Source organism: Homo sapiens, chromosome 9 (assembly GCF_000001405.40).
Source record: "Homo sapiens chromosome 9, GRCh38.p14 Primary Assembly".
NCBI lineage: Eukaryota > Metazoa > Chordata > Mammalia > Primates > Hominidae > Homo > Homo sapiens.
Window position 1 is genome coordinate 20,405,876 of NC_000009.12, and position 20,652 is coordinate 20,426,527.

Genomic DNA, 20,652 nt, shown 5'->3' on the forward strand with positions numbered 1-20,652 from the left:
CCAAGGAGGGTGGATCACCTGATGTCAGGAGTTTGAGACCAGCCTGGCCAACATGGTGAAATCCCGCCTCTACTAAAAGTACAAAAATTAGCAGGGCATGGTGGTATGCGCCTGTGATTCCAGCTTCTCGGGAGGCTGAGGCAGCAGAATCGCTTGAACCTAGGAGGCAGAGGCTGCAGTGAGCCGAGATTGCACCACTACACTCCAGCCTGGATAACAGAGTGAGACTCCACCTAAAACAAAAAAGAAAAAAAGAAAAAAAAGCCTTCTCCTGTACCCCCAGCAGCTTCTTGGGAGGCTGAGGCAGGAGGATCACTAGAGCCCAGGAGCTTGAGACCAGTCTGGGCCATATAGCGAGACCCTGTCTCAAAAATAAATAGAAAGTCTTCTCCCACTGACCCCACACCCTCATCTCTACTAATTCATGCCTCTTTCCTTCAAAGACCAGCTCAAATTCTAACTTTGTACTATCTGGACCACCTCATGCAGTGACCGTACATAGGAAGTACCTACCACATACATATTTTTAAGCGTTACTGAACATTATTAGAGTAATGAAAGAATATTACAAACCATTAAACACATCTAGAAGAAAATGTTTTTAATAACTTAAAGTGACATGATAGTTTATCATACTTAAAAAAATAGGAGTGTCACATAATAAAGCAAAGGTCAGCAATTTATTGTTTAAAAACCAGTACCGTGATTCTAAGCACTGAGGTCTCAAACCAGGGCCACTCTAGTAATTTCTTTCTTTCTCTATTTATTTAAAGTAATACCTGAGGGACCCATATATGTATTTTCCTTCTATGACCGTGAAAGGCAAGAAAATTACCTTTTCTGTGTCACAGATTCTGAATATTTCTTCCTATCCCTGTACTCCCACATCCCTAACCTCTATATTTTCAGAATTCAAAGATAAAAGTGTTGTCTTCAAACATTTTAGTAAATGCTTCTCCATATTATCCTGCTTAATAGCAGGATCTTTGACTTTATCTGGGAATATATCACTGCACAATCACCTTTGGTGACCTAAGGAAGCTGCTTAGGGGTGATTTTTCCTTGTGGACCTTGACACTGCTTGCAAAGTTTACAGTCATAAATTGTAACCCTCTGAGAACAATTTCTCAAACTTGGTTAAATAATTACATAGACACCAAAAGAAAACAACCCTCTGTCTACTCCTACCATTGCATTATCTTGTCTCCTAATTCAAAGAAAGCACAGCCTACATTTTGAATAACTTAGAGAGGTTATAACATGAATTTACAAAATGTAACTAGGAAATTCAGAAAGGAGTCTCCAAACTGGAGGACACCATTTGTTATTTGGTGGCATCTTCTGGGAAAGGTTGATATTGCAGCTCAGCTCTGTGAAACATAAATTCTCTTGCAAAAGCACATGGGAAAAACTCTGGAAACAGAAAAATAATCCTGATGATATAGTATAATAAGGTGCAATCTAGACCCAAGAGAGTCAGTTTTATTTTAAGTGAGGATGTGTAAGAAGCTAGAGGCTCCTGGATGTTTCACAGCTCTTCCCTCAATCCTGGCTCTGCATGCCAAATCCACCTATGAGGACAACCTGTCACCTCCTGAAGGCCACTGGTAAAGCCCAAACCAATAGGTCAAAGAAACAGGATTCATATGGGGGACAACATGAGATATTCAAGGCTTTCCCAGCAGCACTGCCAACTTCATGTAGCACACCTCTACAATTTTAGTATGAATCCAAGGAAGAATAAGATTTGTTTTACCACCAACCTCCTCTTAGGTAGGTACACTACCTATCAAGTGGGTTCAAATCCTAGCTCCATCACTTCTAAAGATGGCAACCTTGGGGAAGATTCTTCATCTTGGAGCCTCAGCTTTTTCATCCATAAAATGGCAATAATAATAATAATACCTATTTCACAGAGCTGTCTCGAGGGGTGAATGAGTTAAATCATGTTAAGTACATAGAAGGGTGACTAACAGACTAAACACTCAAGTTTAGCTATGGCTATAAGGCATCTCTGTGGTATGGTAATGCTAGTCTTGCAAAGCCCATGTTGAGTCCCATTGTTGGCTTTATGTCTAAAGATGACAAATGGGATAATTCCATCAAATGCATAGGTCATAAAGCAAGAAACAATAATGCATTGAATAGGTGATGTAGCTCTCTTAAAGAAGGCTCACAGAATTTATTGGAAGAGAGATTCTGGCTCAATACATGTCAGTGGAAATGCTGAGTTTTGCCAATTGTTGATGACAACCAGCTTTGCAAAGATAGAGCCCCTGTGTATTCACAACCTTCTGCTACCCAAGGGCTTCTAAGGAATTCCTTAATTTAAGAACTGAGATACCACACTGGCCCTAGTATGTACTGAAACACGGAAACAAAAAGGCCTCCAACTGTTTTTTTTTTTAATCTCCTTTTTAACTGCTTTTTTCAAATAAACCAGGAATATGGATGAATAAATGAACAGCTGGTTGGCAAGGCTGCCTCCTCCTCAGTGTGATCACACCCAACACAGAAAAAAAAAATGCGTTAGAAAATAGGGACAGGTGAAACATCTCCATGCACCCAACAAAGTTAACTTTTGTCTGGTAATTTCAATTAATGTTCCACATTGAGCAGAATTTACCAGAGGAAGAACTGTAACCGTTCAGGTATTTTTACCTCCAGTTATAAAACACAGAAAACAGGAGCCTCCGATGAGAACCTGCCCCCTGGAGAGCCAGGGCAGCCCTTTAATGAATGGCCTCTCCAGCTGCTCCCTCACCATACTTACAGACTTTACAGCTCTTGCATGTGCTGGAATTACAAGTCATTAAAAAGCCACTTTGAAAACACAATAAAGACCTTCTTCTCTGACTGCAACAACCTTCCATCACATAAAAACCTAAGGCCAATGCTTCAACAGCAGGACGTTTACTACCAGCTCCAGACAGTTTAAGCAGGGCAATGAACAGGGTGGGGCGGGAGGAAATGAGAAACAACAAAAGAAGGGAAGTTTTTTTTTTCCTTCTTTCTTTTTGAAAGAAATTTCTGGTAAGGTGATTTAAAGCATTTATCCTGCATCGGAATCACCATCCACCCTTGGGAAAAATGCTGCCAACTGATGAGATTTTGTTTTTCTCCTTCAAGAAGGTTTTCTCCAAGAAAACCCCTTGGTAAGCTCCAACTATCAAAAGACATGACTGAAATCTCTCTTCTCATGCTGCAGGCTGAAGGATGTAACATTTTGCCAAATGTAATTTGTCCATTTTCAGGGAAAGATCATTAAAACTTTTTACTTCTTCACTTTAAAATTATGATTAAATCCTCAAAGTAAGGCAAGAAAGAGGAAGGCAATGATAAGAAAACTACCACCATAACTGAATCTGATCATACGTGGTTATCTCAATTTTCATTTACTGTTTTTTTCCTCCTCTGCTGTGAATACCAAACTTCTTCATATCAGAAGACAAGATCAACTCTATACACTTCTCTTCAGGAGCAAAATTATATGAAAAACAAAAACAGGAATTACAGAAGAGGTGAAAGATATTTGGTTTTTTCCCTATTATCAATTAAAGTTTAAGCAGGTTAATAAAAAATACAATTATAAACCTTTAGTTGACACTGATACACTCCCTTTGCAGCTGTTAGTGTCAGTCACCAGTCACTTACCTACTAAACAGTAAGTACAGTGGAATATCATGTACCCCAAAGAGATGAACTCCTAAACCAGGAACCACTGTACTCTAATGGGAATAGCCTCAGTTCTTGAATGTAAAATATTCTTAACAAAAACATTCCCCTATCATGCTTTCTGTATTTGCTAAATGCTCACCCACTATAACACAGTCCTTCTGCCTGTCTACCTTATCCAAGCCCCTACCAAATTCTTCTGTAGGGGAAATTTGTTGACAAACTTTCATGTGACAGTATTACATCTCTTTATGAGAAACATTTCAATAATCACAAAATGTATTTAAAAATTATTCTTTCAGTTATATTAACAGTAACTCAAAGATAAATCATTTCTTAGGATATTTTAACAGCAACAGCAGAAAACAAAAATGAAAAAACAAAAATCTACCAAGTGCCTACCCAGTGCAGTACTTGGTATGTTCTTGTCCTTTATCTCATTTAATTAAAAAGCTGAAAGATCTGAGACACTTTGGCTTATCTTTCAGCTTAAAACTTAAGACTTTTTATCTTGTATTTTTACATTGATCATGTAGCAGAACCATATCAACATCAAGACCATACACCTTGTGACGACAAAATTCAGAGCAAAGTGACAAAAGACAAAACTCAAAACAAAGTGGCTTAGAGTACCAAATATTGCAGCATATAAACCCACAACCTTGAAAAAGGACACCAGAGTTCTGCAAGAGAAAAAATCTTGAGTTTGAAAGAGAAAAAATCTCTTTCAAAGCTACAGGTTATATAGGTACCCAGAAGTCAAGTCATACATAGCAATAGCTAACTTACATTTTTTTTATTAGTGTGTTAACGTTTCACCCACATTGATTTATTAAATTTTCAACAATAATCCTACAAAGAAGATACTATTATGATCTCCATTTTATAAAAGAGGAAACTAAGAAACAGAGAAAGTTAAATTATTTGCCCAAGATCCCTAGTGGCACTGAAATTTAAGACACAGCCTGTCTGACACCAGACAGCAGAATTCTAATTACCTATCTACCTACCTTTCACTTATCAACAAATAAGTGATCGATCCCTCAAACACCAGCCAGACATACAAACCATGGATGTCCAACTTCTTTCTCTCTTCTCACATACAAAGGATATGAAAATCCTACCAAAAAGGACCATATCAATTAATAATCTAAGCTTCCTAACCCATCTTAATACTACTGACATTTTTATATAAAACCTGAGTAGAATTTGATTCTAGAAAAGGTTCTTTAAAATGTTCATCTTTTTAAACTATAAGACCTATACTGAGGCGAGATGTTTTCTTTATAGACATACTAGACAAATAATCATTTTCCCCAGCCTTCCTTATACTTCAAATTCTTCTGATTTATTTGTGTCTTTTTTCTGTTTCCAAAGTCCATGATCTCTGCCCATTATGTCTAAAATCACCCATCACCCCATGTCCCACAAATGAATACGAATCTGGCTCATATTCAACTAATAAAGCTGGAAAGGACCTTAGAGAGATCAGGTCATCTAATCACACTTACTCAGAGGCAGACACACAACTAGGACAATGTGCACAGTCACCCCTGAAGTTGGGCCTGCCCCAAGCCACCAAGTCAATTACTAGCCAAGGTAACAGGGGATACTTGTAACGGAGAGCACTAGCAGTCCATAGCAGTCCATAGCTTAGTGTTCTCCATTACAAGTGTCCCCTGTTCCTTTTGTCTTGCTGGCAGGAGGGATGCCAGGTAGGACAGGTAGGAGACAGTCCAAACAAAGCCTGTCTTTTCTACTGGATAAATGGAATTTCAATTCTCTCTCACCTTCCTTTGCTCATAGAAAGGCCTTTGGGTTCATGGTTTACATGACATCACTTTTGTTAATTCTCTTCTGTTACGCTACCTACTTTTCAAGTATTGAACCAATAGCAACAACAATAAAGCCATTACTAGTACCAGAAGACTAATAAGGAAAGTACGGCTGTTGGGTTTTATACACAAATAGTACCTGAAAGTCTTTACAGGCTTTCTCAGCAATGCTATGCAGAGTACATTACAAAAACTACTATTGTAATCATTGGATTTGTGGCTCTAATATGTCATATACCATTTTGAAAATTTACTACCTACTGTAAAGTTTTCCAATTCTAACTCTTCATTCCAGAAGACTTTTCAAGGTATACTTTGAATAAATACATCAAATTGAACAAGAATTTTATTAAAAGGAAGACATACTTTATAAATCATATATAAATGGGAGGGAGCAAGAGGCAGACAAAAGGAGAATAAACAAAATTACCTAAAGAGGAAGACCATCTGTGTTTCATGTAGAAAGAGCTTTCAATGATGCTTTATGAACGCCATTTGGTCTTCTCATAAATCGGCAAACATTCTAAAAAGGTGCCTTTCAAAATTTTGACCACTATAAGAAACACACACACCTTCTCTGAAATAAAATTTTCATAAGCCATTACTTACCCATACTAATTATAGTTTTCTGATTTTTTTAATGCTAGTGATACGTTAAATTTATTTCACAGCTCACTAGTGAATCACAACCCATGATTTGAAAACCTCTATACTAGAAGAATTGCAATGTGTTAGAATATAAAATGGCAAAGTTGCAAAATTTGACAATTTTGATTGAATAATCACAACCCAACAGCATTTCAGGGTGATTGGAAACAAAAGTCAAACACACACAAAAAAGGTCCAAGTAACATCTGCATTAAGAATAAGCTTCAAGTTAAGAGGAAAGGTAAGAAGCAAAGAAGGAAAAATAAATACTTGAGTTATTGGAACAAACACATTCAACTCTCATCTCCATTTCATAAATTATGACTATAAAGCCTTTACCAAATACTGGAACAAATTTTCCCAATGTCCAGTATTTTATATGCTACTGTCCTAATCTGATCTTCTACCAAAATTTCGAGATTAGCTATAGAGAGTAGGGAGATCTGTGGACCACTGGGGATCAGTGTCAGCACCATGTCCTGACCCTGACTGGCTTTCTACCCAGAACAGTACAAACCCGGCACAGCAAATCTGCTACTATGCCCTCCTAGCCTTTGCCAGCATTTAAACTAGAGACATCTGTGGGCAGCCCAAGGGACAGAAAGAAAAGTGTTCTAAGATTGCCAGTTATTTTTAGCCAGATAGCTTCCTTGACCATTGCCTAGAAATACGGTCAAGCCAATGTAAGGAGATTATTGGGACTGATCATTACTAATAAGTAACTGAAAAAAGGCCAAAATTAGAAAAAATAGTGAAGTAAGGAGATAACTTCAAAGTAATGTTTATTCTTCAAAAACGTTATCAAATACTTTTGAATTAGTAACAACCCTGTCACTAGAAGTGTAAGGTTTACTACAGAGGTTAAAATAGATAATCTGAAAATCCCTTCCACTGCTGAAAATCTGTAATTATAAGTTTAAACCCCAATATCAAAAAACACCTTTTAGGGGAATTAGATGGTCAGATGCTCTCTTAGGCATCCACAAAGGATAATCCTACCCATTAGCAAAAACTTGTAGTGAATGAAGATCACATACCCCACCCCTTCCAAATCAGTGGCTAAACAATGAAGAAAAATATTAAATATTCTCTTTCAAAATGCTACTGCCTGGTTTTACAGGTATACACAAATGTTAAAATTTATCAAATTATACATTTTACATATGTGTAGTATATTGTTACATCATTTTGCCTCAATAAAACTGGTTAAAAAAATACTATCACCAGCCTTCTATCAACATAAACATGTTACTTCATTCCAATGATCAAAACATCAACATTATAGCCCTAATATTTTCTAAGTTTCTCTTTTAAATTTATTTTCCCTTGTATTCAAGTTTTATTATATTCTTCTCACTTTCCTAAGTCATCACTCATTGGAAAGCATAGATACCAAGCTTTGATGAGCAACAAAATTTTCTGCTGCTATTCAAATGACCCATTATAATGCTATGGAAATATCTTTCCTTTAACAACTTAAATAACAGCCTAAAATTCTGCAGATTCCTTAATGACTTCATTTCTTCCTTCTCATTAGTTAAGGAAATGCATTTCTAGGCCAGATCTACCTCTGTGCTACCATTTTATGGCTCAGCATTCATTTTCTTCCCTCATTCTTTATTACAAAGCTATCCAAAATAAAATCTGAAAATAAGGGAAAGGAAGAAAGCCAGTAAGAACTACTCACATCAGATTTAGAGGATATATTCTCCTCCACATCTGAATCATTGGGATCCACAATATCATCAAATGGCGGTAACGTTGATTTCTTCTTCTCTGATGTCTCACTTTCAATTTTGACCTTTCCCATCTTGACATGAGATTTATCTTTTATCTGTTTTTTGTCAGCAGAACAAGTGAGTATCAGTGGTGGTGCGCTAGAAAAACTTTTAAATAAAGCCTCTGAGCTACTCTTTTTCCTTTTTTTGGCTGAGAGTTCTTCAGAATCTGAAATGGGCGGCCTTTTACTAGGAGCCTTCTTATCTTGTCCACTGGTGATGGTGAGTAAGTTACTATCTGGTTTTGGCTCTTTTGACATGGGTTTAGGTTCCTTGAAGGCCATCTTAGGAACTATTTTCTCTTCTTTCAGTGGTTTATTTTCTTTGGGTTTCTTAGAGGATTCTTTGGAAGATTTGTTGTGATCCCTGGAAGGTTCTTTGAAGGCACTTTTATGTTCTCTGGAGTCTTTAGAAGGTTTTTCCTTGTGCTCCTTCATTAATTTGTGAGGCTTTGAAAAACTGGTACTACTGCTGCTGCTGCTGCTGCTACTGCTGCTGCTACTGCTGCTGCTGCTGCTGCTGCTGCTGCTGCTACTGCTGCTGCTGCTGCTGCTGCTGCTGCTGCTACTGCTGCTGCTGCTGCTGCTGCTGGTATGAATACTCCTATTAGGGTCCTGCAAAAAGGGGAGAAGAAAATGAAACTCCCAAAACTAAATAGCAATGAAGAGTCAAAAGAGATCTACATAAAATGATCCTTCTTTGATTCCTCTCAAGCTATCATTAAAATACCAAAAATATTTTAATATAAACCAAAAACCACAATATAACAGGTGAGAATAGTGTATGTGAGAAACAGGTGAGAGTAGGTTATTATCAAATAATTTAATGAGGAAAGCTGTTTTCTTAATCATCTGAAGCATGGAGTTTTAAAACATTTCAATTCAACAAATGTTAACTACTGCTTGTCCTAGAAGATACAAGGATGAATAACACATGGACCCCACCCTTAATAACTATGACGTATCTATGATTGATAGATGTTGACAACCAAAAGACGGGAACTATTAATTCTGTTGGGAGCATGGGGCGAAGAATAATTCAAAAATTCATAAAGAAGTAACATCTGAATTAGGTCCTGGAGGATAAACAGGTAGTTACTAGAATGAAAAGAATGGAAAGGTACTTAAGAGACCAAGGACCAGAATAAACTAAAACAACAGGGAGCAAAGCACAGATTGTATTTGGGGAACACCCAGCTATAGAACAAGATTGAGAAGGAGGCAGAAAAATAGCCCAGCTTCACATAGTAAGGTCAGATTACATTAAATTTCAAATGGCTTTGCAATATAAGGAATCATAAAACCCCCCCAAAAGAAATAAAGTAATTCTCAATTTGAGATAAAAAGCAATTATTTTTATGCTGTATAAAATTTCATCAGTTAAGAACTGTATCTCTCACCCACTAGGAAAAATAAAAGGAAGTTAATAGAACAAAGATTTCACCTAACCATCAAATGGACTAGAAAGTCTTTAGCAATTACTGTATTTTGATCATGAGAAAAGACGTAATTGCTGCCTATTTCATTTTAAATATGATCAATTTTTCCACTCATATAAACATATCAGAATATATAACCTATATATAATCTTTCTGTTTAGGAACAAAATCTAAGTCCATACTTACCATATTTGTGAACCTCTACCATTAATAGTAAGAATAAGAAACAGAGAAGATCCTGGACATGCAAAAATCCACATCAATACTAAAAGAAGAGCTCTTTCTTGCTTACTTCCACTTCCTAATGGAACCAAAGACAAATAAATGTCCAGATTTTCAACTAGAATTTACATCTTCAGGCTTGCTTATTATCTTTCACCCTAACTCACCCATTTAAGCCAATGATATGTAAACCAATCCTATATTCCTTAAATATCTAGCATGACACAGGACAGTAAGCAAGCAGGGGCTATGCTTTTCACTAAAATGAACAATCTACTTATTGGGTATATGCAAAAACAAAACAACAAAAAATATATATATAGGTACATGTATAAGCATCACAAAGTAATATCCAAATGAAAACTTATTGTTCTATATTAGTAGAAATATATTTTTTGGTTTCTTAATAAATTTTTTTTTGTCTCATTTGCTCAACAACAAAATGACATATAACAAAATTATTCCATTTATTTTCTGGAGTGGTTTCAAAATTCTAAACTGAATGAAGTTACTAAGCAAAGACTTGTTTTTATGCACTAAATTAGATAATTCCTTAGAAAACATCATAATCTGAGATTTAAAAGGAAAATTCTAAAGATAGGATTCATATTACTAAAATTTCATTATTTTATAAATTCTATTACATTTCCTGTCATGTTAAGCAATACTATGAATAATTAAAATAAAGTATAATGGACAAACCAAATTAAGGAACAACATTTTGAAATCTAATATCCTTGAGTTTTTTTCAATAGGCTTGTTGACTTACTGATTTTTGAAAATTTGCAATCAGTATTCTAATTATGGCTCTAGAATACTCAAGTATCACTGTTTAATATTCAACCTATATGAAGTATTATACACATATTTTGTAAATAAGTTTTAAAAGCATACAATTTTTAACCTACCAACATATTTCTAATGTTAAGTATTAAAAAACAGCAACACTCCAGCACCAGGAAGGAAAATAAAACTTCTGTATAGATCCTTCCATGATATATTTTTAAAATCCTTCTTTAGAACAAACTGGAATTCTTTAATTCAGGGTACACATTGGTATCTGACACAGCTTCTTGTGTCATAAAAAAGTTAAGTTCCTTTTTTAATTACATGCATATAATGCTAGGTACAAAACTCTAGAAATATGTCTTTTTATAATGTTTTACTTCTCATGTTGGTCTGGGTATTGAATGTCTACTGTTACCTTTTTATCCACTCAATAAATCTTGGTACAAGCAAGTGACCCAGACATTCTTGTTCTTTCCTTTTTTGTAATTACCACCTCAAAAATCTTTAAGCTAAGAGAACAAAAGAGGACAAACACATTCCATAACAATGTCTTAAATAAAATTTAAAAAATAAAAGGAGAGAGAGCAGTTTTTAAGGCAGCATTTTCTTTGTCCTGGGCCCATGACCAATGTCAAAGTTCAAATATATTGTCACCAGTCTCCATGTTTGTTCATGTAATACATGTAAAACAGTGGCTCAGATACACAGCCAGACATTAAATTGTCACTGACACAGAATAAAAGCTTTCACCGATTTTCAGCCTATCTATCTGATACTTATATACATATGGGGGTCTTGTCACCAGTCTCCATGTTTGTACATGTAATAAATGTAAAACAGTAGCTCAGATACACAGCCAGACATTAAATTGTCACTGACACAGAATAAAAGCTTTCACTGATTTTCAGCCTATCTGATATTTATATATATATATTATATATTATATATATATGGGGGTCTTGTCACCAGTCTCCATGTTTGTACATGTAATAAATGTAAAACAGTGGCTCAGATACACAGCCAGACATTAAACTGTCACTGACACAGATTAAAAGCTTTCGCTGATTTTCAGCCTATCTGATATTTACATATATTATATAAAAATATATATATTATATATAAATATGTATATCTGATATATATATATAATATACATGGGGGTCTTGTCACTGGCTTTTTAAATTTTTCAATTAACCATTAACCTCAACGTTAAGTACCACTGAGCAGCACAGACTAATTAGCATTCAATGTAAAGTTTACACATGTATAATTCAAATTCTCTTCGCCTGAGGCTGATTAGGACAAACTGAATATCAAGCAATCTAACACAGAGAGCACGTGTGCATAATTCAAATCTCAAATATTTAAGGCAAATGATTGTTTAAACATAAATATACATATATTTGCACTAACTTTACAACCTGTGACTATAGGATACAATATTTTCTCTCATCTATTCAGATTGCACTGAATGCTTCCTTGTTTTAATTTTTTGGAACAGAATGGGTATCTTTAATGTTTAATCTCTTCTAATACTACTTGTCAGCAACTCAAGTGGAGGACTTAAGAAAAAAATCAGAACTACTGGCCAGAATAAGGTTTTCTGATTATATGTGGCTTTCAGTTTCCATGTTATCTCCAAGTCTACTTTTAAGAACCACTGACAACTCATAGCTGATTCTTGGCTTCCGTTTCTTCCCGCTGGCTATCCCTCTTATTTTTGGTCTCTGTTCTACTTTAACTGGCTTCTGTCTTGTGAAAGATTTTCAGATCAATCATATTTTGTTCAATGAAATTTGCATATAGACAAATAAACTCTCCCAGAAGAGTTTTACTTATCAAAACCAACAAACTCTCCTAGAAGTTTATTTGTTCAAACTGCATTTTTACAAGGACACTTCCTAAAAATTGTAGTGTGGTCCAAGAGGTTATGCATATGTAGGGGTAGGAAAAACCGTGACAGTCAAAGGTAAGGTTCCAAAATACAAGTCTCCTCTAAAATGTCAATAAACACACAATGAATAACACAGAGGGATGACAAGCCATCTGAAACTACAAATAGCTTTGTGCAGTGGCAGGATCATAGCCAATGAGGTTTATGCGAGGCACAATTACTGCTAACTGAAACTACGAATGGAGTATTAAAATTCAGAATTCTGGGGTCAGGGGAGGCCTTGAATTTGATTTACTTTTCCCACTTCAATCCCAAATCTAACCCCATTTACGTCTCTTGAACTAGTTAGCTCTGGGGGCAGCAGGCAGTGGCCTGAAGAATGTGGCCACGAGCTAACGGGCGTCTTGAGAAAAATAATTGGTGCAGGATTTGCTCTGCTTGACCCAAAAGAGTTTATTTGTTTTTTTTAGAGATGGGGTCTTGCTGTGTTGCCCAGGCTGGAATGCAGTGGCTATTCACAGGCATGATCACTACATGCTACAGCCTGGAATTCCTGGGCTCAAGTGATCCTCCTGCCTTGGACTCCCAACAAACTGGGACGACAGGTGCACGTGCCACCATACCCAGCTTCCAGGAGAGTTTCACGCACACAGGTATGGCCAGCCTTCCCAGCACTCAGAAGGCACTTGATACAGGAGGAGAGTCTGCTCTTAGGGCTGCAGAATGTAAGGAGATCAGAAGGAAGGCACAGAATCCTCTAGGTGTATAAACAAGAAATAGATAATATGCTTGCTGCTACTGTGCAGGTTGAGATGCCTGTACCTTTCATCACTTATAGAATTACAACAGCCTAAAGTCCCCTAACAGCTCAACCTCAATCCCAATGCACATATAAGTGACATACTTAAGGGTGGGAGGAAATAGGAGGAAGCAGATCTAACAGATTTTCTGGAGGAGAAAGATGAAATATTGAGGTCAAAAGCAGTATGACTACTTAAGGAGAATCAAGTGAAGTATAAAAAATAACTTCTGGAAAAAAATGTTTAATTAAAAACTAAAATTTAAATATTTATATTCTCAAGCTGAATAATTCAGTAGATAAAGTAGAAGATCGATGCTAACTGGCAGTATAAAAGATCAAATGAATGAAATTTCAAAGCACAAAGTAAAAATACAAAGCGATGAAAGTCATAATGGGAAAAGAGAAGAGCCTTGAATGGATCAAGGAAACCTAACATACAGCCATAAGAAGAGTTCCAGAAGGAAGAAAGAGAAAAGACAGAAGAGGTAATAATTAAAGTAATATGGAAAAAAATTTTCATAAACTAAAGAGAGGGCTGAATTACAATCTCACAGAGCTCACTATACTTAAAAAAAAAGGGAAAGAAAAAAAAAAACCTGACAAGTATCCAGAAAGAATAATTACTTAAAATTGAATAATAATTAAACTCACATTGTGCTTCTCATTTGTAATACTGAAATCTAGAAGAAAGAACAGTAACATCCAGACAGCTGGGAGAAAAAGAAGTAGAACCCAAATATCCCACACACACAGTCTGTTGCGAAAGAAGTATTTGCCAAAATTTAAGAATTCAAATAGCACATCAACCACTGTCCCCGCCAAAGGAAAGGACTTGAGAAAAGAGTCTAGTCAAACAATAACTGAACCAGAAACGTTTTATGTGTGGGAAGGGAAGAAATGAGGGGTAAAATGTATCTTGCACAATATACAGATTTAAATCTAAATGAAAAAAAAACTGTAATATAAGTCCTCAACATGAATTCCTGACACAGAAAAGTCTAACAATCTGGACCTAAACAACTAAATTATTTCCACAGAAATTTAGGAATGAAAGAGGATTAGGGTGTCAAGGTGAAAGAAAGTGCTGGTATCTTTTTTTATGTTAAAGTGGAATAAAAATTGGATTATGAGCAATTAGAAAGGAAGGTGGTCATTTATTAAATGGAAAAGTGCAGAACTGTCACATAAAGGGAAAATGGAAAATGAATATCAACTTGAAAATATAGGCAAAATTAAGAAAAGTGAAAAAAGTCACAAATATGAATAATGAACAAGGTGAAAAGACAGTAATAAGATCAAGTATAACTTAGAATAAAAATGGAAGAACTGAATTCTCCCTCTGGAAAATAAACTGTCAGACTGGGCTAAAAAGACAAAGATCAGATAAAGGCTGTTACAAGAAATACTTTAAATCAATTGATTGAAAAAAGTTTAAAATAATGGAATGGGCAAAGAAATATCAGCTAAATGCCCCCAAAAGAAAGTATGAGTGCTAGATTAATATCAGATCATGTGGAATTCAACGTTGAGAGTACCAAATAGGATAAAAAATGTAAAAATCTAAATTATATAAAGCAAAAGGTATTTAATAAGAAGATTTAAAAATACTTAGTTAAATGAGAAATCAATATATCTTTGTCATAAATTGACAGACCTCATAAAACACAATGAGTACAGACACAGTATAATTGACCAAAACAACCCACACGCTCATTTAATAATTATACGTAGAATTTTTCTATCTCGTTTTTTTTTATACTTGAAGTTCTAGGGTACATGTGCACAACGCGCAGGTTTGTTACATATGTATACATGCGCCATGTTGGTGTGCTGCACCCATTAACTTGTCATTTACATTAGGTGTATCTCCTAATGCTATCCTTGAATAAAGTTCAGAAGTTTTATATGTATCCATAGAACACTGATAAAAATCAATCATAAGGTAACATAAGCTTTAAAACACCCCTTTTAAAATGTTTGTATAGATTACATTGGCTACCCTACTCCAAGAAAATTAGAAAATTAGGCCAGGCACAGTGGCTCACACCTGTAATCCCAGCACTTTGGGAGGCTGAGGCAGGTGGATCACTTGAGGTCAGGAGTTCAAGACCAGCTTAGCCAACATGGTGAAACCCTGTCTCTACTAAAAATACAAAAATTAGCCGGGCCAGGTGGCGAGGGCCTGTAATCCAAGCTATTTGGGAGGCTGAGGCAGGAAAATCACTTAAACCTGGGAGGTGGAGGTTTCAGTGAGCCAAGATTGCGCCACTGCACTCCAGCCTGGGCAATAGAGCAAGACTCTGTCTCAAATAAATAAATAAAATAAATAAATTAAAGACAAATAAATCAAAAGAAAACAATGAAAATAGCACTTCATATAAAAAAAACTCTGGAGGCACAGAAAAACATGCTCCAGGGAAAATTCATAGCCTTTATTGCGTTTGTTTTTTAAACAAAAAAGAAGAGGTACAAGGAGAAGAGAGAAACCAAGTACAAAGCTAAACTTAGTATTCACTTTGAGAAACTGGGAAAAGATCCACAAAACATGCAAACATTATAATACCCAACATAATGAAGAAAGTAAAAGAAACAAGTTTCACCAACATCAGTGCTTTAATTATATAATTGTATAATGTCCTGACATATATGTTTAGTGTTCCAATCCTAAGGAGAAATTTGCCAAGTTAATTCTGACTTAAAGAAAATTTACAATCTACTTCTCTACATTAACTGAAAGAAGTGAAATTTCTTGCATGTAAAATTTCTTGAATTAAAAACTCAGATTTTCCATAAAAGGAATAAGATTAATGAGGAGACAGCAATTTAGAAACATGTCAAAATAGGTACTTAAATACCAAAAGAATCAACCCATCAATTGGCAGAGAAAGAGAGAGAGAATGTACTAAGGGAAAGAGTGAAGCAAAATGGACTGCTGATGCTTTTTATAGGATTTTTAGCAAGATATGAGTTCATATTGTAAATGTTTTATTAAAAATTAATGTTATAATAAAATTATAAAACAGAAAACACCTTAACAATTGGTAGGATTAATGTGTTTTAAAGAATCAAAACCTATTTAAACACCGAGTCTAAACAGAGCCACTGAGACCCAAAATCTAACATGTCTCAGTCAATGGGCAGAAGACTAAAAGAACATGCCACAAGTGGAAGAGAAATGGCACTTGAGAAGCCCAAGAGTCTTTCGTTCAAAACAATATATGTGGCCAGTGCACAAAAAGGACAAAAAATATTTATACACACTCAAGAAAAAGAAAGGTCTCCTGTTATGAAATACAATGCTTTGGAAGGTTTTACTTGTTTCGACTTTTGAATAATCTCCCATTTTTTAAGGTGACATTCAACCAGAAAGTTAGAGGGAACTCTACAATATATCCTCGCAGATCCAAAATAATAAAGCCATTTCTAGACCTGACCAGGGAAGAGCAGCAGTTTTACAAAACTAAAGAATTACATCCTTAAATTCCTCAATTTACCCAGATCTGTAAAATAACCAATATAGATATAACCACACTTACAGAAATACAAATAAGTCTGGATTTTGCACTAATGACGAAAGATACAGCAATCATCCTAACAGTTAAGCAAGAACCAACACATAACATGAAAGAGCAAAAGATGATGCTGACCGTTCAAGGAGAGATTCGAGAGAATAATGAAAGATTCCCCTCAGCCATACCTGACTATGAATTCTGACAATTATTTATTAGGAAAGACAGGCCTTAATAGCAGCCGCAAAGAGTAGTGACATCTGGGAGTAGTGACATCTGGGAAACAAAAGAAACCCACCTGAAAACTTTAAAGAGGAGATCAATATTAACTAATCACTTTAGGAAGGTCATCTGGTAGCAATGTGGGACAGTGATGGTGACAATGATGGTGACAGTGGTGGCAGCGGTAATAGCTTAATGAATGCTTACTAATCCAGACTGATGTAGAAGTTTTATCATTATTAACTCAACAATCTTGTGAAATAGCTATTATTAGCCCCAATTTATAAGTGAGGAAACTGAGGTACGAATATCAATGTGCCCAAAGACACATATATAATTAGTGATAAAACTGACACTCAAGCCCCCAGTTAGTCTGACTTCTTTTCTTTGGAGATGGTCTTGCTCTGTTGCTCAGGCTGGAGTGCAGTGACCTTCTAGGCTCAAGTGATCCTCCTTCCTCACCCCTTGCAAGTAGCTGTGGGACTAAGGGCATGCACCACCACTATATTTTTATAGTCTTAACCACTACATTTTTATTTACACTTGTAAAGTCAGTGGGTTTCAAAATCAGCTGTCAATCTTGCCAATATAACCTGGGCCAGAAATGAAAGAAGATATAGAATGGGGGAGAGGCTCAATGACTGTAAAAGAACATCATCAAAAATATGCCTGTTGTCTAGGCAGAACTATACAAATGAAGTTCTATTTATTTCCAGTAGAGGGGGTAAAATATTATTTTTTGGCAGGTGATTAAAAAATGCAATGGGCCCCCCTGGCCCCCCATATCCAAGGGTTCTGTATCCACAGATTCAACCAACCACGGACCAAGAATATTCAGGAAAAGGCCAGGTACAGTGGCTCATACCTGTAATCCCTGCATTTAGGGAGGCCAAGGAAGGAGGATCACTTGAGCCCAGGGGTTCGAGACCAGCCTGGGCAACACAGTGAGACCCTATCTCTACATTAAAAAAAAAAAATTAGCCAGGCGTAGTGGCATGTGCCTGTAGTCCCAGCTACTCAGGAGGCTAAGGCGGGTGGATATTGAGCTCAGGAGTTTGAGACCAGCCTGGGCAATATAGTGAGACTTCATCTCTACTAAAATAAAATTAAAAAAAAAAAACTAGCTGAGTGTGGTGGTGGTGCATGCCTGTAGTTCCACAGCTACTCGCGAGGGGTGAGGCAGGAGGATCACTTGTGCCTAGGAAGTCACTGCACTCCAGCCTGAGCAACAGAGCAAGACCATCTCCAAAGAAAAGAAAATATTTGGGGGAAAACTCAAAATAATGCACAATTTTAAAATACAGTATAACAACTATTTACATAGCACTTACATTGTGTTGAGTAGTATAACAAATCTAGAAATAATTTAAGGCATACAGGAGGATGTGCATAAATTATATGCAAATACTATGCCATTTTGTACAAGGGATTTGAGGATTCATAGATTTTGGCAACTGAGAAGGTCCTGGAACCCATCAATCCCCTATGAATACTGAGAGGCAACTGTAATTTATTTTAAAATCAGAGGCTCTTCTTGTATACATTTCAAGTGGGTTAAACTTTGAGTCTTTTGGTACTAAATAAATATTTTTAAGTTGATAAACTTATTAGTAGAGTTGTGTTCAGAGGGCTCTTGTGATACTGAGAAAAATCACCCTCTCCTATAATGCCCTGGCAGAGCACATGATGCTTCCAATTATTTCAAAGGGTTTCAGAAAACTGCAAGATACTTCTCATCTCACATTAAATGTTTTCAAATTTTGAAGTCATAAAAATTTATAGTGCTCAAATCACATAAATAATCACCTCCAAAAAGGATGAGGCGGGAGAGGTCACTGTTTTAAGAAAACTGGAGAATCTTATAAGGGCCCCTATAGGCTGTCATTAGGAAGAGAGAGAATTTGAAATATTTTACACAAAAACAGGCAGCAATAAAGAAAACCAAAAGCTACAAAAATATATGGCTGTGCAAGAAAGAAAATCTAACATTTTAGCTGCAAATAAACATTCTACCTAGTGATAACAATAAACAATATTCACTGATTTTCAACTTTTGGAAACTAATCTACTCAGCTCCACCACTTGCTAAGTGCCTTAAATTTTCTTGTCAGTAAAATGAGGACCATAATATTACCACAATATTACCTATACCACAAAGTGAGCCTAATGATTACAAAAGCTTAATATATGTAAAGTACCTATGTCTGTATATGTGTGTGCTTTATAAATAACATGTATATGCAATGTGGCCGGGCACAAAGCAGGAACTATGTGAGTGCTTTCTATTACTACCACCACCACTAGTGCAGACAAGCACAGAAGACTTAACATTTTATTACATAGCACAATGTTATCAACCCTTACAACGTAAGTGTCTGAACAGAAGAGAAGGGAAATAACTTTAGGATAACCTGAACTTGAGAATCAAGGGACATTGTCCATAGTTGGTGAGCCAACTAATATAGTTCTACATTAAACATCTAGAAAGTTATAAAGGTATCCAAGAGATCAATTTAAAATGGTGTCATATTAGGTGTCATTAAAATGGTATAATATGGAGCAAATGGGTTAGATTCTCATGTAAAAATAGCAGCATAGCATATAGTTAGGAAACTCTGGACATTCACCTTAGAATTTAAATATAGAAACAGTTAAAGTGGTTCCTTCCAGAAAGTCGGAAGGAGGTTCAGGAAGATTAGAACATAGGACTTCTACTTTTTGTTAAACACTTCGCTATTTTTTTCAGCCATGTAAATATCTTCGACTTCACAAATGTACTTTATCCTCTTCCTTTTCATGCACTCATTTGCACTTTAGAGACTTTGTGAAATACATTTTGCATTAGAAAAATAAAAAGATAAATGATTCAACAATGTGACTAGTATCATTCTATGTTTTAAAAACACTTCAATTTTCCTTCTGATGTCATTTGTTATCTTACTGTTTTCGAGCAAACTACAATCAAGCATCAATCTACAGACGTAGCTTCTTACTAAGATTGCACTTTGAGTTATATACATTTAGCTTACATCATTAATAAGATGAAAAAAATCTACAAATTATATTTATAATTGAGAAATAGAAACACATGAAAAAATTTATTTCAACTATGAAGAGAAAAGAATAAGTAGTAAATTTTCATTTGCCCAGCCTTTTGTTCTAAAGAATTTAAGGTAAACCCAATAAATATTTTTTAATATTAAAAATATCCTGAAGTACTGTATTTGCACTTAAATGAAGCTTAAGTGTAAAGTACTGATTGGCAAAAATATTTAATATTTTACAAAATAATATTTTAAATAGACAAAATATATAATGCCCTTTTTTCCTCAAATGACTATGACTTGTTTCAGCTATGTTGTACGTGCTATAAAATCCTTTTGTTTCAGAATCCAATTTCATTTAAAATTCTCCTATTTATATATACTCCCTGACTTGCTATGGCTTAAGTTCTAAATCATAGTTAAGTACTACTGACTGTAAGTTATATTTAGAAGACTGTAGTTTCAAGTAAACTTCTGCCTATCTTTGTGGTTTGAAACTAAAAATTTGAAGTAATATTTATATCACTTCTCTTTCTAGGTTTTTGTATATTTAGCTTTGTACAGTTCCTGCTTTATTAAACCAGCTTAAAAACACATTGGCCAGATCATTCCAGCCTTCTCTCTTAGTACTAGCTTGATTTCTGATAATTAGCCTTGATAAATAATCGTTAAATAACAGAGAATAGCCAATCTTCAGATTATATTACTAATCACAAATAATGGCTGGAAGTATAAAATGAAAAACAGTACCTGACACACACAAATTTAATAAATATACTGCATAAATAAAAGCCCA

The 20,652-nt window shown here is 35.4% G+C and overlaps 1 protein-coding gene, 1 non-coding gene and 1 pseudogene across 3 annotated transcripts in view; 1 reads left to right on the forward strand and 2 right to left on the reverse strand.

The window, feature by feature from the left end:
* MLLT3 (MLLT3 super elongation complex subunit) overlaps nt 1–20,652 on the reverse strand; it is a 280,831-nt gene that overhangs the window by 64,207 nt on the left and 195,972 nt on the right. For both annotated transcript variants that reach the window (NM_004529.4, NM_001286691.2), the window contains exon 5: nt 7,846–8,550. In NM_004529.4, coding sequence (NP_004520.2) covers nt 7,846–8,550 — 705 coding nt within the window. The remainder of the gene's footprint in view (nt 1–7,845; nt 8,551–20,652) is intronic.
* On the reverse strand, nt 5,273–5,363 carry MIR4473 (microRNA 4473). The gene has a single exon (NR_039684.1). It is a non-coding gene; the product is annotated as a microRNA 4473 (primary transcript).
* RNU4-26P (RNA, U4 small nuclear 26, pseudogene) lies at nt 12,446–12,552 on the forward strand (annotated as a pseudogene).